Source organism: Homo sapiens, chromosome 4 (genome assembly GCF_000001405.40).
Source record: "Homo sapiens chromosome 4, GRCh38.p14 Primary Assembly".
Classification (NCBI taxonomy): Eukaryota; Metazoa; Chordata; class Mammalia; order Primates; family Hominidae; genus Homo; species Homo sapiens.
Genome location: NC_000004.12, coordinates 87,131,275 through 87,154,632, shown reverse-complemented (window position 1 = coordinate 87,154,632; position 23,358 = coordinate 87,131,275). Strand labels below are relative to the sequence as shown.

Genomic DNA, 23,358 nt, shown 5'->3' with positions numbered 1-23,358 from the left:
TCTATTTTTGTTTTTGTTTCTGGTGCTTTTGAAGTCCTACACAAAAAATCTTTGACCAAAACAGCGTCCTGAAGTGTTTCCCCAATGTTTTCTTTTAGTAGTTTCATAGTTTCAAGTCGTACATTTAAGTCTTTACTCCATTTTGATTTGCTTTTTGTATATGGTAAGAGATAGGGGTTTAATTTCATTCTTCTGCATATGGATATCCAGTTTTCCCAGCACTATTTATTGAAGAGACTGTCCTTTCCTTACTGAATGTTCTTGGCACTTTGTTGAAAATCAGTTGACTGTAAATATGTGAATTTATTTCTGGGTTCTCTTTACCGTTCCATTGGTCTGTGTGTCTGTTATTATGCCAGTACCATGCTATTGGGGTTTCTATAGTTTTATAGTATCTTTTGAAGTCAGGTAGTATGGATACCTCCAGCATTACTCTTTTTGCTCAGGAATGCTTTGACTATTCAGGGTCTTTTGTACTTTCATGTGTGTTTTAAGATTTTTTTTTTTCTATTTCTGTGAAGACTGACACTGGTATTTTGATAGGGATTGCACTGAATTTATAGATTGCTTTTGGAATTATGGTCATTTTCACAATAGTAATTTTTCTGATTTAGAAACATGGAATGTCTTTCCATTTATTTATGACTTCTTCGGTTTCTTTCATCAGTGTTTTATAGTTTTGCTATGGACATCTTTCACCTCCTCAGTTAAATTTATTCCTATGTATTTTATTTTTATGGGGAGCTATTGTAAATAGGATTGCTTTCTTGATTTCTTTTTCCACTAGTTCATTGTTGGCGTATAGAAATACTACTGATTTTTGTATATTAGTTTTGTGTCCTGCAACTTTACTGAATTCATTTACCAAATCTAACAATTTTTTTGGCAGAGTCGAGGCTTTTCTAGATGTAAGATTATATTCTCAGTGGGGAGCGACAATTTGGAAGCCTTTTATTTATTTCTCTTGCCTAATTGCTCTGGCTAGACTTCCTCTGTTTCTTTGGTTTCTATCTTTTTTATTTCTCTGGGCATTTCATACATAGTTATCTTTATATCCTGTAGCCAGTAATTCCAATATCTGAAGTCCCTTGAGGGTCTAAATCTGTTTATTGTCTCTGTTGAACTTTTCCTTATGGTATGTCATTCTTCCTGTGTTTGGTGATTTTTATTTGTAAATATATATTTAGTAGAACCTGTTGAGAATCCAGAGGTTCTTTAATTGGGAATGTGCTCCTTCAGAGAGGTTTCACATTTGTGTCTCTAGGCTAGGGAACAAAACTGACCTGGGGCATTTTAGCTTTCTTCTTGGCTCCTCCTTTTGCTATGGGTCCAGAACTTGGTCTCTCAGTCCCAGCGCTGATAATGGCATTTGTCCTCAGGGCAACTTTGGTTTTCCTGTTTAGTTACCACTCCTGCTCAGGTTCCATCTCTTATATTGGCCTTTCAGTGTCCCTGCTTTCTTGAGAGCCCAGTAAAGCATTTTTAAAAGTATATTGTTTATAATTGAACTAGGAACTAATAGTAATGGGAGAGCCCTTTGGATGATCTTGTCTTTTATAACCCCATAAACCACTACCATTCTAGAAGCCAAAGAAAAGACATAGTTTTGTCTTAATATTCACTAATTTTTCTCTTGTGTACCACTAGCCTCCTCTGAAATTTATGTGTTGAAGACGTTCCATAGACCAGGGGGCCCCCGTCCGCGGGCCTCAAATCAATACTGGTCCGTGGGCTGTTGGGAACGGAGCTGCACAGCAGGAGGTGAGCGGCAGGCCAGTGAGCATTACTGCCTGAGCTCCGCCTCCTGTCAGACCAATGACAGCATTGGATTCTCATAGGGGAGCAAACTTTATTGTGAACTGCGCATGTGAGGGATCTAGGTTGCAATCTCCTTATGAGAATCTAATGCCTGATGAGCTGAGGTGGAATAGTTTCATCTCCAAACCACCTGTCCCCACCCCTGCCCTGTCCGTGGCAAAATTGTCTTCTGCAAAACTGGTCCCTGGTGCCAAAAAAGTTGGAGACTGCTGCTTATAGACCTTAACAGAGCTTTCTTTTTTTTGAGACAGGGTCTTGCTTTGCTGCCCAGGTTGGAGTGCAATGACGTGAACATGACTCACTGCAGCCTTGACCTCCCGGGCTCAAGTGGTTCTCCCACCTCTGTCTACTGAGTAGTAGGCACTACAGGCCCGCACCACTATGCCCGGCTAATTTTGATATTTTTGTAGAGACAGGTCTTGCTAAGTTGCCCAGGCTGGTATGAACTGCTGGGCTCAAGCAATCCTCCTGCCTCAGCCTTCCAAAGTGCTGGGATTACAGGCCAGAACGAGCCTTTTGATCTCATATATTATTATACCTGAAGTTTCTTAAGTAAATTTAAACTAGTTTATAAAAGGATAATTCAGGAAATGTAAAATTACTTGGTATGGATATGCCTGTCACTTCAAGTGTCTCTCTTTGCCCTGAATATCTCAAGTTATTAGTTATTTTATATAACATCAGACCCTTAGCACATTGATGTGTTTTAAATCCCTTCATAAATATGACTCCAAAGTACTGATGGAGAGTCAGAAAATAATTGCATTCTGCTTGAAACTTTACAACCTTCCTTTTTAAACAAATGTTTCTGTTTAATGTAACAAATGTAATGGCCTTTGGCCAAAAGTAATAAAATTCTTACTTGATCATAAATTCCTAAATTTCCCTAGTCTGTTTGCAAACAGTGAGCTTTTTTCCTGTCTGAAAAGCCAGAGCTCAGGACCGAATGACATAGTGGCTATTTGTATTACATTCTAATACACAGTGCTCTAGTTTTCTTTCTTTCACTTGTTTCATTTCCCAGTACCTATTCTAATGCAGTGCTAAATCAGTGTGTTTTTTGTTAGCTTTATTGAAGTATGATTTATATTAAATTCACCCACTGTAAGTGTACATGGTGATTCAGTAAACCTGTAGCATTGTGCCAGCCTCATCATAATCCAGATTTGGAACACTTTCATCATCCCCCTGAAATTCTCATGAGCCTGTCTGCAGTCAGTCCCCACTCCTCCCCTCCTTTCTCTTCACCCTAGGTAGCCACTGATCTGCTTTCTGTCTATAAATTTGTCTTTTCTGGGTATTTCATATAAATTGAATCACACACTATATTTAATCTTTTGCATCTGGCTTCTCTCACTTAGCATAATATTTTTGAGGTTCACTTCATCCATAGTGTAGAATTTTTTATAGCTGAATAGTATTCCCTCATATGCATATATCACATTTTGTTTATTCATTCACCAATAATGGTTGTTTGGATTGTTTCCAATTTTTGTCTATTATGTGTGATGCCATGAATGTTCATGAACATATCTTAATTGACCATATGCTTTCATTTATCTTGGGTAGTTTCATATACGTGGAATTGCTGGGTTTTATTGTAACATGATTTTAACTTTTTAAGAAACTGCAAACTGTTATCCAAGTGGCAGTACCATATGTTTCCATCAGCAACATATGAGATTTCCAGTTGCTCCTTGTCCCCTCCAACACTTGATATTGCCTTTTCCTTTGATTATATCCATTCTCCTGGGTGTGAGACATGGTGTCATTGTGGTTAAATGAATGTACAGTGCTTTCAAACAGCATCTTTTTCCTAAAGAAAATGATTGCCCTCTAGTGGCTCATTCTGCACATTACACTTGGGAAAGGGGCACTAATGAGAAGTCTAAAGCTCAGAACAGGCTTGTTAAAATTTACATTCATTTCACAGCATCCCTGGTTTAGCACACTGAACACAATTTGAGTCCAGTTTCAAAATGTTTTACTTCATTACTACTATTAATAATACCCAGGAGCTGAGCTGGTTGGCTGTGGCTTTTACATAATCCCAAGAGGTACATTATAGTCAAAACTAAATTTGTGTGCTTTAGATCTTATCCACTTTATGCACTAAGATCTTTTGCTATAACAAGGGTTTAGACCTGTAGAGTGGCTAACGCCTACAAAGAAGGGGAAAAAAGGCCAGAGATGGTTATTGTTTACTCAAACCTATTACATCCTTTCAAATCAGAGCCAGAGGAATAAATCATTTTTACTAGTGGAATGAATATAAATTCTTTTTAATGAATTGGACACAAATGTGTCTGGTGGCTTGTTGGTATTTTCAGGTAACACCTTGTAAATATGCCTATGGAGAGTTGTAAAAATTTAGGAGACTAGGTCTCGGCTGCTCCTAGGGCTCTGCTGAAAGGACAGAACACTATGCATGTTTAAAAAAAAAAAAAAAAAGTTAAAACTTTGAGCTAAGTAAGGAACCTGGCCAGGGATTTACTTATTTAAGGCATGTGTATTTGGTAAGTAAAAAAAGATGTGGCTTCAGGAAATTAGGGTAGTAGAAGCAAACATTTAATGATTTAACATAAGAAGTTTTTGCTTTAAAGCTATCACTCACACAGGTGATGTCATTTATTTTTTAGAAAGTGGAGAGAATGTATATATGTGAAATTTCCCTGAGCTCTTAGGCTTTAGATTTCCAAATTACCCAACAATGCATTTTATTGTCCTGACATGTCTATGAAATCACATGTATACATGTGTGTATTTTACGCCTGAACACAGAATAGCAGAGCCTGATGGATGGGACTGCCTATGGTTGACCTACTGCTTTACTCAATTTGAGGTAAGGGGAAGGAGGGGGCATTTTTGTATGTGACATTGGGTACACAGTGATTCCACTCCTTAGTAAGTATGGTCCACTCCACTTATCAGTTAGAGGTGGATAAGGGAGTATAAAGATTAGGATAAGAGAACATTTAGCCAAGTCTAGGGGGTAAGCTTTGGATATGAGGAAGGAGATTAAGATAATTTTTAAACATGTATCAGAACCTATAAAATGTTGACACTATGAATACTGGGTTTTTTTGTTTGTTTGAGACGGAGTTTTGCTCTTGTTGCCCAGGCTGGAGTGCAATGGCACGATCTTGGCTCACTGCAATCTCTGCCTCCTGGGTTCAAGCAATTCTCCTGCCTTAGCCTCCCGAGTAGCTGGGACTACAGGCATGCGCCACCACACCTGGCTAATTTTGTATTTTTAGTAGAGACGGGGGTTTCTTCATGTTGGTCAGGCTGGTCTCAAACTCCTGACCTCAGGTGATCTTCCAGCCTCGGCCTCCCAAAGTGCTGGGATTATAGGTGTGAGCCACCGCGCCTGGCTGAATACTGGTTTTTAAAGAATTAACATGGAGGTTTTAAACTTACTCCAATGGTGCTGCCATCATTGCCCAAAGAAAACAACTTAGGTAGATACTGAAATTATCTAATAGGGACACATTTTTATCCTCTGTCTTTTGCAATTGTGTTTTGGAGCCAAGTCTGATGAGTTATTTATGTGGATAGTATTGTTTAACTCTTTGTAGAAAAGCAACCATAAAATAAATAGGATGTACCTATGCTTGCACATAGTTCTGAAGACAGTTTTTTTTGTTGTTGTTATTGTTGTTTTTGAGACAGAGCCTTGCTCTGTCGCCCAGGCTGGAGTACAGTGGCGCAGTCTAGGCTCACTGCAACCTTCGCTTCCCGGGTTCAAGCGATTCTCTTGCCTCAGCCTCCTGAGTAGCTGGGACTACAGGTGTGTGCCACCACATCTGGCTAATTTTTGTATTTTTAGTAGAGACAGGGTCTCACCATGTTGGCCAGGCTGGTCTCAAACCTCTGACCTCGTGATCCGCCCACCTCGGCCTCCCGAAGTGCTGGGATTACAGGCGTGAGCCACTATGCTGGGCCCTGAAGGCAGTTTTAAATAATTTTGTTGTAAATTTGTTTTGAACTGTGGTAATACATGTGAAGAAACCACCAAGATGATTTTAAAGGACAGTGGTCTTTTTAATAAGTTCTGTGTATCTTTTTAGATTTTAATACACCATCTTTAACAGGGAAATATTTGATTACCAGTATCTTTATCTCATACACTTCAGGATATCATATTTCAACTCCTTCCTTTTTTCTTACAGATGAGGAAATATAGTACCAGACATTCATGTAACTTGTGCAAGGTAAAGGATGGTAATTCAGTGCCATATTTTTTATTTCTGGTTGGCTGTTTTGCCTGGACAGTGTAAGGCAGGTGAGGGGGCCAAGGCATTCAAACTTCAGGGTCACTAGCTTCAGAATTAAAGTTTTATTCTGCCCCTATACTCTCAAACTTGGAGGACCCTGGGGGAATTTATACTCTTGCCTGTTTCAGTTACTATTTCTTATTTCCTGGGATTTTACCCATTAAAGCTTAGTTTACATTATTCATGACTTAAAAACATTTACTTTATGCTCATTTCTTGAAATGTGTGTTACACTAACATTTACTTGTGTTTTATTAAACTTTTATTTATTAATACATGTCTTCATGCAAATAAGGAAAGAAAAACTATCAATTTTAGCTGTCACTAGAGGTGCACTAGTGTCTTGACTAGTGCTGGTAAATGGAGAAAATCCACAGGGCAACATGGAAAGCAGCATTGGATGGGGTGATCCCCCATGTGCTTCTAATGATGCATTAGAAGAGTTGCTAATCACTGCAGATTTTTAGGACTTCTTTCTCAAGCTCCAGTTTATAAAGCCTCTAAGGCCTATTAACAGTCCAGTCTTATTACCTGTCTAATTGTCTATAGTACAATCCAAAAGTGGTTAAATGGTAACAGTGTTTAAGACTGGCTGCAGATTACATTAAAGCAACTTATAAAACCACATTTTCACTAGTTTATTCTCACAAGCAAAACCCCCTTCGTAACTTGAAGTCAGACAAATCTGTATCATCTGAGCTTCACCTTTTACTGGCTCCCTAACCATGGACAGATTACAGTTGTCCCTCTGTTGTTGGGTTCTGCATCTATGGATTCAACCCACTGTGAATTGCAAATAATTGAGGGCATGGGGGTGGCGAAAGGGATGGTGTTGCATCCGTTCTGAACAGGCACAGACTTTCATACTGTCATTCCCTAAACAATGTAACAACTATTTACATAGCATTTACATTTTATTAGGAATTATAAGTAATCTAGAGATGATTTAAAGTATAGGGGAGGATGTGTGTAGATTATATGAAAATACTTCACCATTTTATATCAGGGACTTCAGCATCCTTGGATTTTGGTATGGGGGAAAATCCAGGATCCAATCCCCCATGGATACCAAGGGATGACTGTACTTATCTTGGGCTCACGTGTCATCTGTAAAGCATAATGACTAATTTGAAAGAAAGATGGTTTCAAAGTACAAGCAATGGAAGGTACGTAGGGCATGTGGCTTCATATATACTTCTTTCCCCTTCTCCACAATTTTACTTTTTTAGGTCAGTGTTGTGCTATAATGACGGGAATGTATCATGGATGTAGGAAAGGGGAAAATGCTGGTTGACTCTGTTTTGCTGTGGGGAATTCCAGACAAATACATAGGTACAAGAGGAGTGCTGTCCTCCACCTGTCAGATAAACTGGCTTATGCTCTGCTCTCAAGCTTGAAATAATCTGAACAGTGGGTCCACAGGGTGCTAGTTTTAGAATAGTGACATCTGTGTTAAGAGGAATGGCTGAAAGCAGAGACAATGGCTAGTTGAATGGAAAAACACCAGGTCTCAAGTTACCTGTAACTTGGGTAGAGACATGTCATCCAGGAGCTGGGCACCCTAACCTATGCTTTAATGCCTACACACATACTGAAGCATGTAATTTTACACAAAGGAATCACTGAAACTATTGATTGGATGTGAGTAAATTTCACAAGGACAAGAAACCAGTCTCCTCTTTTTAACCTTCATTCAAGATAAGCAAATATCAGGTTAATAGGACTATAGTTAAGTTCAGGACTGACATTTGGCAAACAATTTTAGATTTGATCTCTCTAGGCCATAAAGACAATCCATGATGAAATTCATATTCATTCAGTGGGTTTCAAAACTGCCAATGTTAAACAGCTTCCACTTTATCCAGAATAAATATCATTTGCTTGGACAAGTAGTAAAAAGATATTAGTGGAGCTTCAAATGCCAAAGATCCTGAGTTGGTGACACACATAAAGTCTCACTCAAGGATTGATCATTTTTTCCTGTAGCATTTGTAAGAAGAAAGGTAAAGGTGGGAACTGTTGTAAGCAGCTCACAGGTGATACCTACTGAGGTGTAGGCAGTGGAGCAAACTCAGGAAGAGTCATGCAGTTGACTGGAGGCAATCAACCTTGTACAACCTTCTTACTCTACAAACTAGTAGGCAAAAGACAATCTCAGAAAATGAACTAAGTACAGGAATAGGCAATCCATAAAGTCACACAAATGACCAATGGACTTGTGATAAAATGGTTCACTTCATTTGTCAGATAAATGCAATTAAAGTACTGTAAGATTTGTTTTTTGCACTGCACTCACGACTGGCAAAAATGTAAGATCATCTGCAGTTGGTGGGGAAGGTAGTTTGGTAACATCAAATTTGTTTTTTTGAGACAGTCTTGGCTCTGTCGCCAGGCTGGAGTGCAATGACGCAATCTCGGCTCACTGCAACCTCCACCTCCTTGGTTCAAGTGATTCTTCTGCCTCAGCCTCCCAAGTAGCTGGGAGGACAGGTGCGTGCCACCACGCCCAGCTAATTTTTTTTTTTTTTTTTTTTTTTTGTATTTTTAGTAGAGACAGGGTTTCACCATGTTGGCCAGGATGGTCTTGATCTCTTGACCTTGTGATCCACCTGCCTCAGCCTCCCAAAGTGCTGGGATTACATGTGTGAGCCACCACACCCGGCCTGTAACATCAAAAATTTAAAATTTAGCTTATGCTTTGACCCAGACATTTCCCTTCCAGGAATTTATCCTATAGAATACTTGTAAGAATGTACAAAGATGTTGTGTACTACGATTCCTTCAGTACATTGTTGTAACCACAGAATATTGTGGGGAGGAGTGACTTGTGCCCATAATGGGAAAATGTTTAAATAAATGGTGGCATATCTTATTACATGGTACTTTGTAGCCAAAATATGCTGGACATTGAAAAAGGACTGATACACAGTGTAAAAAACAATGCACAGAAAAGTTGTAGAAAGATAGATACGCACGAACTTAATGGCCGTAGAATCTGGGGAGGAAGTACACTTGCCCTTTCACTTTTTGCTCTGTATGCCTCTATATAGTTGTCCCTTGGTATAAGTGTGGGGTTGGTTCCAGGATCCCCACAAATACCAAAATCCATGGATGCTTAAGTCCCTTTGTAAAATGGCACAATATTTGCATATAACCTCTGCACATCCTCCCATATACTATAAATCATCTCTACATTACTTTCAATACCCAATACAATAACTACACATCACTTCATTCGCGTGGATGCAACACAGTACTTGGCACATGGCAAATTCGTTTTGTCTTTTAGAACTTCGTGGGAATTTTTCACCCTGAATATTTTCTATCTCCGTTGAATCCACCAATGCAGCACCCATGGATATGGAAGGCTAACTGTAATTTGTTTTACTATTTATTTGTAAATCAGCTTAAAAATAGGATGGAAAAATTACATTCTCGTGTATATGTAAGCTTGGGAAGCTCTTTAAAACCACTCTACCAGGATCACTTGCTTCTTCCCTTGAGATTGTGAATTCCTCAGTTGCAGTCCTGGGTACCAAGTTTTACCTGCACAAGGAGTTTCTTCAAAGATTGTAGTTCAAAGATGGAAAACTAAAGGCATTTTTCTGTAGTTCATTCAGTTGAGCACGACTGGTTTTCCACATCCAGTAGTGTGAGTATTCCTAAGAAAATATGTGCTCATGCACCTTTTTTGAGAAGGGGTTGGTAGTGTTTCTTAGAGGATAATTTATAGGAATAGTTAGCAGTGAAGATATCAGAACCTGTAATTGTTTCTTCCTCCTACACATGAAATAAGGTAAATGAGATGTTAGGACTGGGCCTCCATAATAGAGAAGGGTGATTTAAAGCACTTATCCAGGGGAGGCACATGGTCTTTTTAAAGCTAAAATAGAATTGTGTGTTCAAAGAGCATTTCAAGGCCTGCCCTCAGTCTGTTGGAAGGGCAAAGTCCCTTATTATCAGAGCCTTGGTGTCTCAGTACAGTCTTGCTTTCAGCTGAGTGTGGTCTACTGGAAAACCACAAACGCTGAAAGAGTCCTGTTCCTCAGACAAAACAGACTAGACAGTACAATTATCTAATCACTACCAAAGTAACAGCAGATAAACCTCCGATTATATTCTGGTAAAGACACATGGGGCTTCAAAGTTATTTGGAATGGATTTGAGGGTTCTAAGCACCACCTAGATGACTTACTTAAAAGTAGCCTGGATTGTGACCATTTACATTCCTGACAACCCTGGCAAATAGTGAGCCAGTACCTATTCAAATAATGCAGGCTCCAAAAGTGCCTAGATACTTGCGAATACAATAACACAAAGGGAGACTACCACTTTAACCTCACAGAGTAGTTGCCAGTATTCAGTGATAGTAAAACTGCCTTGTACAGCATCTGGGAAATAGTCTGTATGCACCTTATGGAGACATCAAAAGTCGGCAAGGACACTGCCGACTTAAATTTTTTTTTTAAAGCCCAGCATAATACAAATAAAAAACTTAATTTGGAGAGAAATACTTAACAAAAGGTTAATATCCTCTAAATACATAAATCAAAAGGAAAAAGATGCATTTTTCAGCCTGGTGGATCATCTTTCTTTTCTTTACTGCTCAGCATCCCCTTCCTTATTAGCAGAACCCTTCCGAGTGGTGAACTCAATCTATATAACTGGTGAAAACAGGTTTCCCCCCATCTACCAAGATGGGCATTTGAACTGGGTCTAGAATACTAGTCACATAACCCATGCACTGCAAATGGCAGCTTAATGTGAGGGAAAAATACTCTATCATGGAATAAAACACACCAGGGACACCATTTGCCACCTATCAAGTTCGGTGACTTTTCCCTTTCCCCTTTTCCAACATAATACCCAGGTTAGATAAAGGATTAGGAAAATAGATACTCTGAAAATGTGATAAAGCTTTTTTTTTTTTTTTGAGATGGAGTCTCACTCTGTCACCCAGGCTGGAGTGCAGTGGCGCGATCTCGGCTCACTGCAAGCTCTGCCTCCCGGGTTCACGCCATTCTCCTGCCTCAGCCTCCCGAGTAGCTGGGACTACAGGCACCCACCACCACACCCGGCTAATTTTTTTGTATCTTTAGTAGAGATGGGGTTTCGCCATGTTAGCCAGGATGGTCTCAATCTCCTGACCTCGTGATCCGCCCGCCTCAGCCTCCCAAAGTGCTGTGATTACAGGCGTGAGACACCGTGCCCGGCCGATAAAAGTTTTCTATGGGTTATCTGACAATAACAAGAGCCTGTAAAATATACTCTTCCCATTCTTTAACTCCCAATGAAGTAATCTTTTTAGCAAGGATCATCAATGCGTGCTATAATAAAATCACTTAAGTGAAAGGTTGTGGGGATAGGGAAAAGATCATATTTTTAAAGGAGAGTTCTGGTGATCATATCTTAACCAAAGACTCAAATTTATTATCACACATAAAAACCATTTTAGTTACCTCCTGATGTGATCCAGTATGAAGCCCACAGCATCACCTGTGAAGGATTCTTGCTAAATATAATCAGACCCCTAGACTGAACTTGCAGTTTATAGAAAATATAGGAGATGAATGAATTAATGAACATTTGGGGGAACCAGACAAATCGAGGATGGGGGACATTACAAAGGTGGGGGTGGCTGGGCGTGGTGGCTCACACCTGTAATCCCAGCATTTTGGGAGGCCTAGGCAGGGTAGATCACTTGACCCCAGGAGTTCAAGACCAACCTGGACAACATGGTGAAACAGTCTCTCTATAAAAAACACAAAAATTAGCTGGGCGTGATGGCATGTGCCTGTAGTCCCCACTACTCAGGAGGTGGAGGTGGGAGGATCGACTGAGTGCTAGAGTGAGCTATGATTGTGCCACTGCACTCCAGCCTGGGTGACAGCCTGTCTCAAAAAAAAAAAAAAAAAAAAAAATGGGGGGGGGGGTGAAGGAAGGATTGTTCTCAAGACTAAAGAGACATAATCACTAAATGTAATGCATGAAACAGCTGAAGCCATGTTCAAAAAGGTAAGTTTGAAGGCAGCTACAGAAATTTGAATATGGACTGAACATTAAGCATTGAGAAATGTCTTTAGATGCTATAATGGTATTGTGACTACTTTGGAAAGTGTCCTGACAGATGCATGCTGTAACTTTTAGGGGTGAAATATGTCTGCAACTCACTATTCAGCCTAAGTGTTCACACCTACACATTTACATAAAAAATATGGTAAAATGTTAATTGTTGAATCTAGGTGGTAGGAATACATGTATACACAGTATTTTTTTCAGGATATGCTTGAATATTTTCCAAAAAAAAAAGAAGAAAAATGAATGTTTTCACTATACAATCCACTTCTTGGAATTCCAAAGAAATATCCCAAATTCAAAATATTTGAATTTCCCCAAAAATTTCCCCAAATGGAAACATTCTTTATAATATCCCCAGATTAGAAACAATTAACAAGAAGGTTAAACTGGCACCACCATACCTGGACTACTAAGTTATACAAGATATGACATGGAAAGTTTTGGTGAAAAAGGTTAAACACCCAGAAGAGACTTGACGACTGAGACCCGTTTTTCAAGCCCTAGTTCAAAGTAGATTCTTTTCCCCGTAGTTTCTCCCAATCAGATCGAAAACACTCCCTTTCCCCAAACTTGCTATTGCATGGCTTGTACAACAGTTACTGTTGACTTTTCAACTTCACTATAAATTTACAGGGGTTGGGTCCATGTTTGTTCACTAGAACTAGTACAAGTGGAGACTGATCTAACGTTTGGAAGGACAAAAAATTAAAAAGGAAGAGGAAGGCAGTGAGTGTTCCGGCTGGAGGGTCAGCAGCTGGGATATGGCAGTGCAGTAAGGGGAGGAAATGAAATAGCCACTGGTTTCTGAGTGATTACATAACGCCACACACCATGCCAAGCAATCTCAATGCATCATCTAATGTGATCCCTGCAATCTTACTGGGTGGATACCATTTCAACAGCTGTAAAAGAGAAATGCAGAGGTTAATTTGACCAAGGGTCACATAATTAGCAAACCAGAAAATCAGATTCAAACACAAGGAAGTCAGATTTCAGCACCTAGGTCCTTTCCCATTTCATGAAATCACAAAGAGTATTTTTTCTTTAACGGTGGCAAAGGGTGAAAAGGCCAGATAACCTTTAGATTCCTTTCAATACCAACATTCTACAAACCTGTCTACCCAGCAAATTTGGAAATAGGCAAATTTGGTCACTACTACACCCTCCAGTTGATGTTAGGATAAGAAGCCACACTGGTGATGTTAGGCCAATTTGTGTCCGATTATGATCTTAGCGAGATCCACTGAACAGAAGGATAAGCTGCCTTCTGAACCCAGTTCTTTCTCCACTCCAGCAATAAATATTGCGAATAAGGACACATTGCTCACATGAAACTCCTTGGCTATAGATGGCAATTTCACATAATGGTATTAGGAATTAACTGTATTCAGGTAAAGAGAAAGCATGGATTCAACCCCAATGATTTCTCGAAATTTTTATTAATTTTTTTGTTTTTTTACAGCTTGATCCTCTTATGAAAAGGAAAGAATTTAAAGATGAACAATTACATTTTTGTTTAAACAGCAATTAATCCTCATTACAGAGAACAAAAGATCTGTGGCACATTGTCTTTGGAAAGATCTTTTGCAGATTTTTCTTCTAAAAAAAAACTATAATTCTCTCACAGATCACATATTCTTTCAAACGACTATACAAGGCAGCTAAATTTTATTCACAAAGCCCCAAGTTGCAGTTCCATTGCTGAAGTAGGTAAAATACATGGAGTTCCCCTTAATTTGTGTTGCACATCTTCCCATTGAGAGCATCACTGCTTCCCTACCCTATGTACAAAATCATTGTGTTGATGATAGCTGGCACGTTATTCCACAGTAATTAAAGAAAAACTTATTAAACATAGGCCAGTGATTTTCATTTATCAACTGGAAAATTTACTCCTTTTTAAAACAATTTTAATAATACCAAGATTTGACTTTCCTCCAAAGTTATAAGAAAGCAAAAAATATATAATATAATATAATATAATATATAATGGTAATAAATAAAAAAAAGGCAACCCTGCTCAGGTATCATCCAAAACATGATCACATTCAGAAAAAAAAAATTAAAACAAGATTTGGGACACATGCGTGCGTACATACACACATACACACACACAACCCCAACATGAACAGTGTATACTTGATATCTGAGGGGGATATGCAGTAATTTTAACAATACATGTCGATGGCCTGAACAAAGGTGAATGCTGCCTGTGTTAAGCATTGCTTAAAAAATCTACTTTTAAGCAAAGCAAGTTGTCTTCCTTAGGTCAGCCACTGCCTGGTCCGACCAGTGCAGCTTGGCCAGCCTCACTATGAGTGGTCTTATTCCCTTGTCCTCTCCAGGCCGATATACTAATATATAGGCTCACAAGGAGCTGTAGGGTTTCCCTCCTGCCCTCTTAGGTAGAGAAGTATAGGCACTTCTCTACCCAGTACAGTGCCTGCTGATCTCTGACGTTCAGTGGAACAGAATATAATGTCATTTCCTCCTGACAGTAAGAAATTTATAGCCACCTAAAGAAAAGCAGTAGTTGGTATTTGTCAACTCACCATAATTAAGAACTGAAGAACATGGTCAGTGCTCACAATTCATGAAGAGATGAACACTCCAAGTCACCGAGAAACCAACACAACTGGATTGCATATTTGAGGTTCACATGGTGGCAATATCACTTGCAGTGTTTGAAGGAAAACCCCCAACACGATGCTATTCTGCCGTTACACCTCCTTCCAATAGAATGACACAAAATAAAGGCACAGGAAAATACCTTACATCCATTAATCCTAAGTGGGACCCAAAACAAAAGAGACAACTGGCTCAAGAACAGGAGGGGAAAAAAGGTACTGCCATAATTGATCCTAGCATCCCTTCATGGCTGCAATGCGTAACTCTCACTTTTCAGTGAGAAAAATCTATACTCTTGTGTTTCTAAAGAAAGCACAAAATATTCTTGCAAGATTTAAATACTGCTAATCAGTGGCAAAGAGTGTAAACAGATGAAATGGCAAAGTTTTAAAAGTTTTTTTGTAGTGTTTGGGAAAATAAAGAATCTGTGGTAGGAAGCAAGCAGGTTTAAGTACAAGAAAACAAAACAAAACAAAACAAAACAAAAAACAAAAAAACCCGAAAGCCCAGCCTCAAGCCTCAACCTACTTTAAGATGCACAAATACAACTCAAACTTCATAAAGCAGAGGAGTAAAAGGTGCAAGAGCCATGTAGCATCCCTGAAGCCATGGCGAAACAAACACAGCGGTATTTAAAAACTGGGTTCACTCAAAGGCACAATTCAATCAACCTCTTTTTCTCTATTTAAGTGTATATATTTATATCCCTTTGTATATCAGAGATAAGTTTTGTTAATTGTAGAGGACACAATGGCTTTCTTCTTGCTTCTAAAAATTACTGAAGATGAATCATAATAAAACAGTAAGCTCCTGATGCTAGTAACATTAATGTGTAAGATACCAAATAAGGCAAGTTTTCAGCCAGAAAGGGGTAGGGGGTTTTAGCTTTCTAAACATCCTGAGACCTGAAATTAAAGGATACAGGACAAGGGAGATAAGTGCGGTCCAATCTGTGTAAGGGAAATAGCTACATATTTTGGTCAAAACAGATAATATGAAGGTCTTTTTGTTACAAAATATTAGATACTTTTCCCATTCAGTATTGTAATCAAATCATAATATCAGACAGTCAAATTCTCCTCCTATTGTGATTCTATTTCTGATAAATGCTTGCTGGGCCCTCCCACTCCTCACCACTGCTACTAGGTGGCCAATGTTTTCACAATCCGAACCCAGTATAATTTGATAAATTTTAGTAAAGTGTTTTTTCATTATTTAGCAGGGCTCTTAAATTCAATAATTCACAGAAAGGACAGAAACATTAAACACTTTAAAAAATAAAACAGTGTTCTTCCATTTCCTACTAAAGACACACACACACACACACACACACACACACACCTTGTAGTGCCAAAGGCAAGATTTACACTCTATTTTCACTCCTTAAGATGCTTTGCATTTGTCTTACTCTGAAGTGTGTACTATTATTGTTATAAGAACTTTCCATACTCTAAGGCTTAATTTTATAATCTAGCCCTTTCAAATGATCTACCTCAGTACAGATTTTGCCTTTGGGAATTGTAAGCATGCAGTGAAAAAGTGCAAATCATTTTAAAAATCCTTCAGACCTCTATATACAACCGTAACAGCAAAAAGACCCTATGAACGTTAAGGATTCATCAGCCACTACCTTTCACATACTCTATTAAAAAGGTTACCATTAGTTACTCTCCTTTAGGTACAATGCAATAAGGATCAGAAATATCCAATGACCAAAGTAGTACAAATTGATCTATGCACATTTGTTACTTTTTCAAGGGACAAATAAAATCTTTATATCAAGTTCAGAGAAAAAAAAAAAAACCCACAAAGAGTAAGGCCACTGAAAAAGCAATCTGTTTTAGAGCTGGCTGAGAAATCTACCTGGAAATGTCTTCAGTCAAGGGAGCACTGTGGCTTGCCAACAGAACACGCACATGCTCTGGCACAATCTGCATAGAACCTGCCATAAAGAACACAACCCTTCACAATTGACAGGTGGCTTGTTCTAGGGAATGATAGGACAAAAGGGGAGGGGATGGCTAAGGGAGTAAGGAAAAAAGAAAGATGTTAAATAACATCTTCAATATCGAAATAAAGCCTGATTCTGGTGCCTTGTCCTTTACATATAACAGATGGACACACAATGCTACACACACACCAAACCTACCAGGCAATTACTGTTCATTTAACACAGGTTTTTAAAACTAGTAGTTTAAAAAGGACCAGGGCTTTGCTTTATAACATGAATAAATGAAACCGGTCATCAGGAATCACACATCAAGGTCTTATGCTCAGATATGACTACAGCTGTCATTCTCTGGCTTTCACCTAAACATGAGGGACCAGACCTCTGACTTAGTGACAACCAAAGAACAGTCTGGAGAAGAAACTGAAGGAACAGCCTCACACAGACCACTCACACTGTGAGAGATAAGCATCGCTCCCATCCCTCGACACATCCCTTTGTGTATTTACAAACTACCAAGAGAGTTCCTGCATTCATCATAGGGATCTTAGATGTCTTCATTATAAATAAATATGGTTCTCCCTCCTCCACTAATAGGAAAATGTGAAACATGCTTGGTAGGAAACATGTACAGGGGCAGAATGGGACAAAGGCGGAGAAAAAGTTATAGAGATGACACTCCTCAATTGTAGTAAGTGTGCAAATTCTACTTCTAAAAGGGATAAAAAAGAATTGGCTTTTAAAAACACTGCACTCAAAGTAATGTTTCCAATAATAACCTTTAAAGTTTCAATGAAAAAGAAAAATCTGTGCTTATGGGCACATGGGATTTCTGATTGTGTTACTTCATTTTAGGTCATTCAAAATGGACTTGGTTTAATGCATACACTATGGCAATAACTTACGGAGGGCCACAGTTCCTCCTCAACCAAATCAAATCTAGCTGAGAACACTCTGGAGTGAAGGCATGTGGTGATGAGTTTTTCAAAAGTCTAATCAACCACCCCAAATCTCTACATCCTCTCAGGGAGTTAACTTCCCCTAGACAATCAAGGACTCTGAAAGTCTAGTTTTGCTATAAATATAAAATATTTGTAGCAGAAAAATATAGCCTCTCTAAGAAGCAGATTTCATGTTTCTTGTTCACTGACGAAACTCTGAGTTGGCTGGACAACATGAGTTACCACATAACTGTAGACCACAGATCAGCACCTCAAATTCCAGCTCTACTTAAACAAAACTTTAAAAGCACTTTAGCCATCTGGTCAGGTATAAATGTTGGTTCCCTTCTTCCCCAAGGGAGGAAATTCAGAATAGAGTCAACAGTGACTGCCCTGTTAGAGAGTCCCTTTCGCTGAAGCAGGGGTGGGAAATGGCAGGGGTAGGAAATGGCAGCGCCAAGTCCTCCTGTGCAGACCTCGAGGTGGCACCCCATGTGCTGTGGCTCCTCCTCACCGCTCCGACGTGGGCTGACTTTCAGCACAGTAATGAGAAGTCAGAGCTGGGGTCAATGTGCAGCGCTCTAGGCAATGGGGAGATTGGGGGCGGCAGGAGCGGGGGTTGCCTTCAATTTTATAAATTACAACAATACTTGGTATTATCAAGCCACTGTTCATTGGCAGAAAGTGGGGCACAGTGGAGTCCTTCATTACTTATGGTTTACAGATGGCCATTAGAAGTTACTAAACAAATATTTCTCCCAAAACTCAAAAGAAAAAAAATCATCCACAAAACCCTTTACCAAAAGTCATTGTTAAAAAAAAAAATTTCCTTCTGGGAATGGACTAGCGTGGCTACTGAGATGACGTGAAATTCACTTTCAGAGTTGAAACTGTTTCTCCTCATTTCATTTGCAACTTGTATCCTGCTGGTTTAAAAAAAAAATAGAAATGTTTCTAGACCATTCATACACCCATTTAAGCTAAATTGCACTTCTGTCCTTTAGTTAGGAAGGGCAAGATCATCTCTGGGGCCAGCCTCCTCATCTCTGCTTCTGCATAACCACAGTGTCCAACCAATGATCACACTGTTGTTGAGAGTTTAAGTGGACAAATGTCCTGGCCATCTCGTGGTGCTTCTTTTTTAGAGTTTGGTGTCCTGATGAAACAAATGTCTGGACTGTTTTTGAGGCTTCCAATGTGCAAAAATAGTTCCCAAGGCATTGAATCAACCTGGGGCTCCATTAAGGTGTTTTGGTTAATTCTTGTAGCTGCTGAAAACCCTGTCGTGTATAGTGCACCAGGTCCACCAAACTGCTGTTGAGGGCCAAGGTGCACACATTTGTGCTGAGCCGAGCAAAGAATTCTGCAAAAAAAACAAAACAAAACAAAAACAAGTAAATACACAAGCACACACAAAAATTAAAATGGAAACAAAAATTCAAGGTTCCAGAAGGTAGGTCCCCACAATATTCTGCACTTAATCACATCAAAAAAATCACAATCTACTGTAATTGCTTGCTAATTCTCCACTAGACTACCAACCAGGTTTGCTTTAGAGCTGAATCCATAATGCTTAGCACAATGGCTGGCACTTGGAAAACACCAAATTTATACCTTTGCCTCAAAGGATGCATTAATGAAAAAAAAAAGTTAAAAGCATTATCAGTTTGATAAGACAGATAAGGCCCTAAGAGGCTCTATGTCGAAAGTAAGTAGTTACAGCCAGCTGGCTCCAACTCTCCTGAACCTTGCATTTCTCCAAGGGTCTTCTTCCCCAAACAAGTCTCAATAATGTTTACTACGCTGTATCTCTCGTACCATAGCTACTATCTTTCTTAACATATACTAAAAACAAATAATCTCGGTATTTGGGTTATGCTACTTTGTATCTCCAATGTGCTGGGCCTAGGAACAGCCAGTGGCTCCTCTTCTTCATTTGCCCTGCCTTTCAGCTAGCATTTCAGCTCAGGCTGAAGTAATGACAGCAGAGCTTCAGAAGGGGCAAGGCGCTAAAGCCACTTGTATTTTGGTTTTGCTAAGATCTAGCCACAGAAACTCAGCTCCATGCCACAGTGCTCAAGGAACAACCGCAACTAGGTTTTGAGGCAGAATAGAGAAAATATAATTAAAGTAAAACAGCTACACATTCCCTTTTCTCCAAGAAACTGAACTTATAAAATATAAACCAATGTTTATTCCTCCCAATCCAAACACCCCAGTAATTACCACCACAAAGCCATTTATTTACCTTTATTCTTCCTCGTGAGGGCCTCGGCCTGTTCCCAAAGGTCAAAGGCGGTAAGAACATGGGATGTGATGGTGACATAGGAAGATGTCATATTCTGGATGGTGACTGGGGTGCTGATAGTGGCAGCCACCCCACTGCTCCCCACACTGCCAGCACTTGACTGGGACCCTACGGAGCTGGCAGGAGAAGGCATTGGGGAAAGAGGGGATGGTGTGCCTGTGCTTCTGGGAGGTGGAAGAGAAGAGATAACTGATCAGTCAGTCACCAGTAGACCCCTGGATCACAGATTTACGTGTCTGGAACTACAGTCCAAGACACAAAGTTTCACTATACACCTGCCAAAATGATAACCACTGCTAAAGTCACTCCTACAAGGTCAACGAGACACCCTGCTGGGCTAATCTGTATTCCAAATATGCTTTCCCATGCCATTCGCATAGTCTACTTCCTCTGCCTGGAATCTCCTAGTAAGACAATACTCTATGTATGTAATGTATGCATATGTAGGTATGTGTGTGCACCCACCTGTATTTCATCCTTTCATCCACTCAGTAAACACTAACTGAGCACCTGCTCTGTACCATGCATTCTTTTAGACACTGTGGATACCCTGGATATATCACAGCTTCCTTTCTGCCACCACTTGAACATCTCTCTTTTCTTACATTTATCTACTGTTTATTCCTTTTCCTGGGCCACAGCAGAAATAATGTCTCACTAATTTTTGCATTACTAGCACTTAGCACAATAGGTGCTAGAAGTAGGCTCCTGATAAATACTTGCTGAGCCAATGAATGAACTAATATTAAGTATCATGCATCAGAAGACTCTATCTCCTCTTTACTCCACTCTTGGCTGAATATCTGGACCTGCAAGTTAACATGTGACTCAATGTGGACTAAATAAAAAAGAGTTAATGAATATAAAATGGAAAGATGATGGTTCAGCGGCAGTAGCCTCATGATGTTACACCTGCCGTTTGGGCTGCACGGACCTAGCAGAATGTACATTTGCAAGGAGTAGAGTGAAAGCTCCATGAGGGCAGTGGTTCTTGTCTGCTGTATCCCCAGTACCTAAAACAAGGCTTGGTATGAAGAAGGTGCTCAGTATATACTGGATGGACAAATGATTGAAGGAGTTATGTAAATAATGTGATTGACAATCTATTAGCTTAGAATAATATCTCAATGCAGCAGCCATGAAAATCTTCAGAGGTAATACGAAGTTGCTTCTTAATCAGGACTTTCTTTTTTAAGAGAGGCCATATGGGAGTCTCTTCTTTTGAATGTGCTAGAAATAGGGCAGTCGTGTAAGTGATATTCTTAAAATAGCAAAGCTTATCAGAACTAGGAACTTCACAAGGAGTATGACCAAATTAAAAAATACTAGGCAAGGACTACAGGGAAGAAAATTCCAGCTTCACTTTAAAAACACTTGTACAAGGATTCTTTTTTTCTAATAACTTACAGCATACATGAACAATTTTAGTTCACAAAATGGGGAAAAAAATTTTGCTAAAGATAATCATTTTCATTCTTAGTATTGCTGGTGTGGCATATGGCTCTGGAAATTTCTTGTTTACTGAAATGCCAAGAAGCTATGTCCATACATACAGAGAGAGAAAGGACTCTGGCTCTGGTTCTGTTGGCTCCGCCTCTTGTTTTGTGTTCTTAGGCTTATCTAAAGATCCTCAAAGCTCGGCCAGGTGCGGTGGCTCACGCCTGTGGCATCCCCGCACTTTGGGAGGCCAAGGCAGGCAGATCATTTGAGGTGACAAGTTCGATACCAATCTGGCCAATGTGGTGAAACCCCATCTCTACTAAAAATACAAAAATTAGCTGGGCATGGTGGTGGCACAGGCCTGTAATCCCAGCTACTCGGGAGGCTGAGGCAGGAGAATCGCTTGAACCTGGGAGGTGGAGGTTGCAGTAAGCCAAGATTGCAGCACTGCATTCCAGCCTGGGAGACAGAGCAAGACTCTGTCTCAAAAAACAAACAAACAAAGAAACAAACAAAAACCTCAAAGCTCAAAAATTTCAATTCTATATTCTTTGCAATTACCTTTTTATGTTTTCCAATCAGCAAAAACCTTGATTTATAACTATTTCTCAAAAAGGTAGAAATATGCTAATAATTTAAATTTAGGAGCAACCAGCAAACAGATGAAGCCAACAATTTTTGAAAAGGCAAAGTGACATATGTAAGCATACAAATGGTTGCAAAAGCAAGAAGTAAATAAAGAAATGACTCAATTCTGGAAATTATTTATATTAGACTTAGAGTTACCTTGCAATGCATGGAGAAGGTGCCTGGGCGACTTTGGAAGAACTCTCGAAGTGTTTATTAAGAGTACGAGAATACTTTATTGCTATGTCTTTTTTACAACGAAACATCGCCATGTTCAAAATGGACTGGCAACGCATGCTATGAACAAAGACAGAAGTGAAACTGCACGTGACTATCATACTACAGAAAAGCAGCCATCTAACCTTTTATAGCCTAATGAACACACCGGGTTTGCCTCACCTGTGTGAGTTAGTATGTAAAGTATCTTACTGCTCTGTTCATACTATCCCAAAAGTAAATGCTGGTAGAAAACACAAGGATATAATTTATATCACAAGACCAAAGCATTTACCAAGCCATCAGAAAAATGGCAGCAGATACCATTTTATAAGAATTACTATCAGTGAGGGATTAACCTTTTGACCAAAGTACTGACTTGCTTTTCATAATTTTCACATTAAGAAAACAAATTTCAGAATCTTTTTGTAACATCAACAGATGCAAAAACAAATTTAGTACTATTTAGACAAAGGAAAATACGCACCATAAAACAGCAAATATTTTCTCTTGTGTTGGCGCTGTGGCATCTGAGAAGGATTTTAATGACATTATGAATCTATAGGAAAATATAAAAGTACATCAGGTTTTAAACAAAGGCAGACACAAATACAACTTACTATGCTTGTTTCCATTTTATATTGACTTTTCCTGAAGAAGAGATGAGAGCATCACAGGAAAAAAATTTAAAAACCCAAGGCTTTAGAGCAACAATCCAGGCCATTGAGAAAACTAGGTGAGTACACGTCTCTTGTGTGGCTTGTCTACCTCTTGAAACCAAGTGAAGTTGTGTCCTTACTGAGTCCCCTGTTGAAATGTAGGTAAGTAAACAAAGGCTTAAACTGAGAGGAGAGGACACTTCATAAAAAAGCTAAACTGGAAAAACCAATCTCCCTCAAAGCTTTGGCACTTCTTGGCGCACTTAGCAAAATGATGCAGTTGGACCCAGTTATTCTGTGCTAGCACTTCATCTAGAACGCAACTTCAGGACAAACACTAGTTCTTAGACCAATAACTTTTTTAAGGCTCCCCTTTATTGAGCCATCTTCACACTAAGGTTCAAATGGATTAAAACAA

At 39.3% G+C, this 23,358-nt stretch overlaps 1 protein-coding gene across 14 annotated transcripts in view, besides 3 other annotated features; it reads right to left on the bottom strand.

Moving 5' to 3' along the window:
• Positions 1,208-1,708: an enhancer, noted in NCBI's record as "H3K4me1 hESC enhancer chr4:88074077-88074577 (GRCh37/hg19 assembly coordinates)". NCBI's record gives its function as "activates a minimal SCP1, AML or CMV promoter by ChIP-STARR-seq in naive H9 embryonic stem cells {active_cell/tissue: H9 hESC(naive)}" and the evidence as "EXISTENCE:reporter gene assay evidence [ECO:0000049][PMID:30033119]".
• Positions 1,709-2,209: an enhancer, noted in NCBI's record as "H3K4me1 hESC enhancer chr4:88073576-88074076 (GRCh37/hg19 assembly coordinates)". NCBI's record gives its function as "activates a minimal SCP1, AML or CMV promoter by ChIP-STARR-seq in naive H9 embryonic stem cells {active_cell/tissue: H9 hESC(naive)}" and the evidence as "EXISTENCE:reporter gene assay evidence [ECO:0000049][PMID:30033119]".
• Positions 3,566-3,615: a silencer, noted in NCBI's record as "silent region_15555". NCBI's record gives its function as "represses an Ori minimal core promoter by ATAC-STARR-seq in GM12878 lymphoblastoid cells {active_cell/tissue: GM12878}" and the evidence as "EXISTENCE:reporter gene assay evidence [ECO:0000049][PMID:35858748]".
• Positions 13,594-23,358, bottom strand: part of AFF1 (ALF transcription elongation factor 1) — a 206,029-nt gene continuing 196,264 nt past the window's right edge. For 12 of the 14 annotated variants that reach the window (XM_005263007.4, XM_047415702.1, NM_001166693.3 and 9 more), the window contains 4 exons: positions 22,769-22,840; positions 22,225-22,362; positions 19,939-20,162; positions 13,594-19,053 (listed from right to left, as the gene is read on the bottom strand). In XM_005263007.4, coding sequence (XP_005263064.1) covers positions 18,932-19,053; positions 19,939-20,162; positions 22,225-22,362; positions 22,769-22,840 — 556 coding nt within the window. In that variant the 3' untranslated portion in view covers positions 13,594-18,931. Of the gene's footprint in view, positions 19,054-19,938; positions 20,163-22,224; positions 22,363-22,768; positions 22,841-23,358 lie in introns of those variants that run through there. The other 2 variants (NM_005935.4, XM_005263013.5) reach the window with 2 other exon arrangements.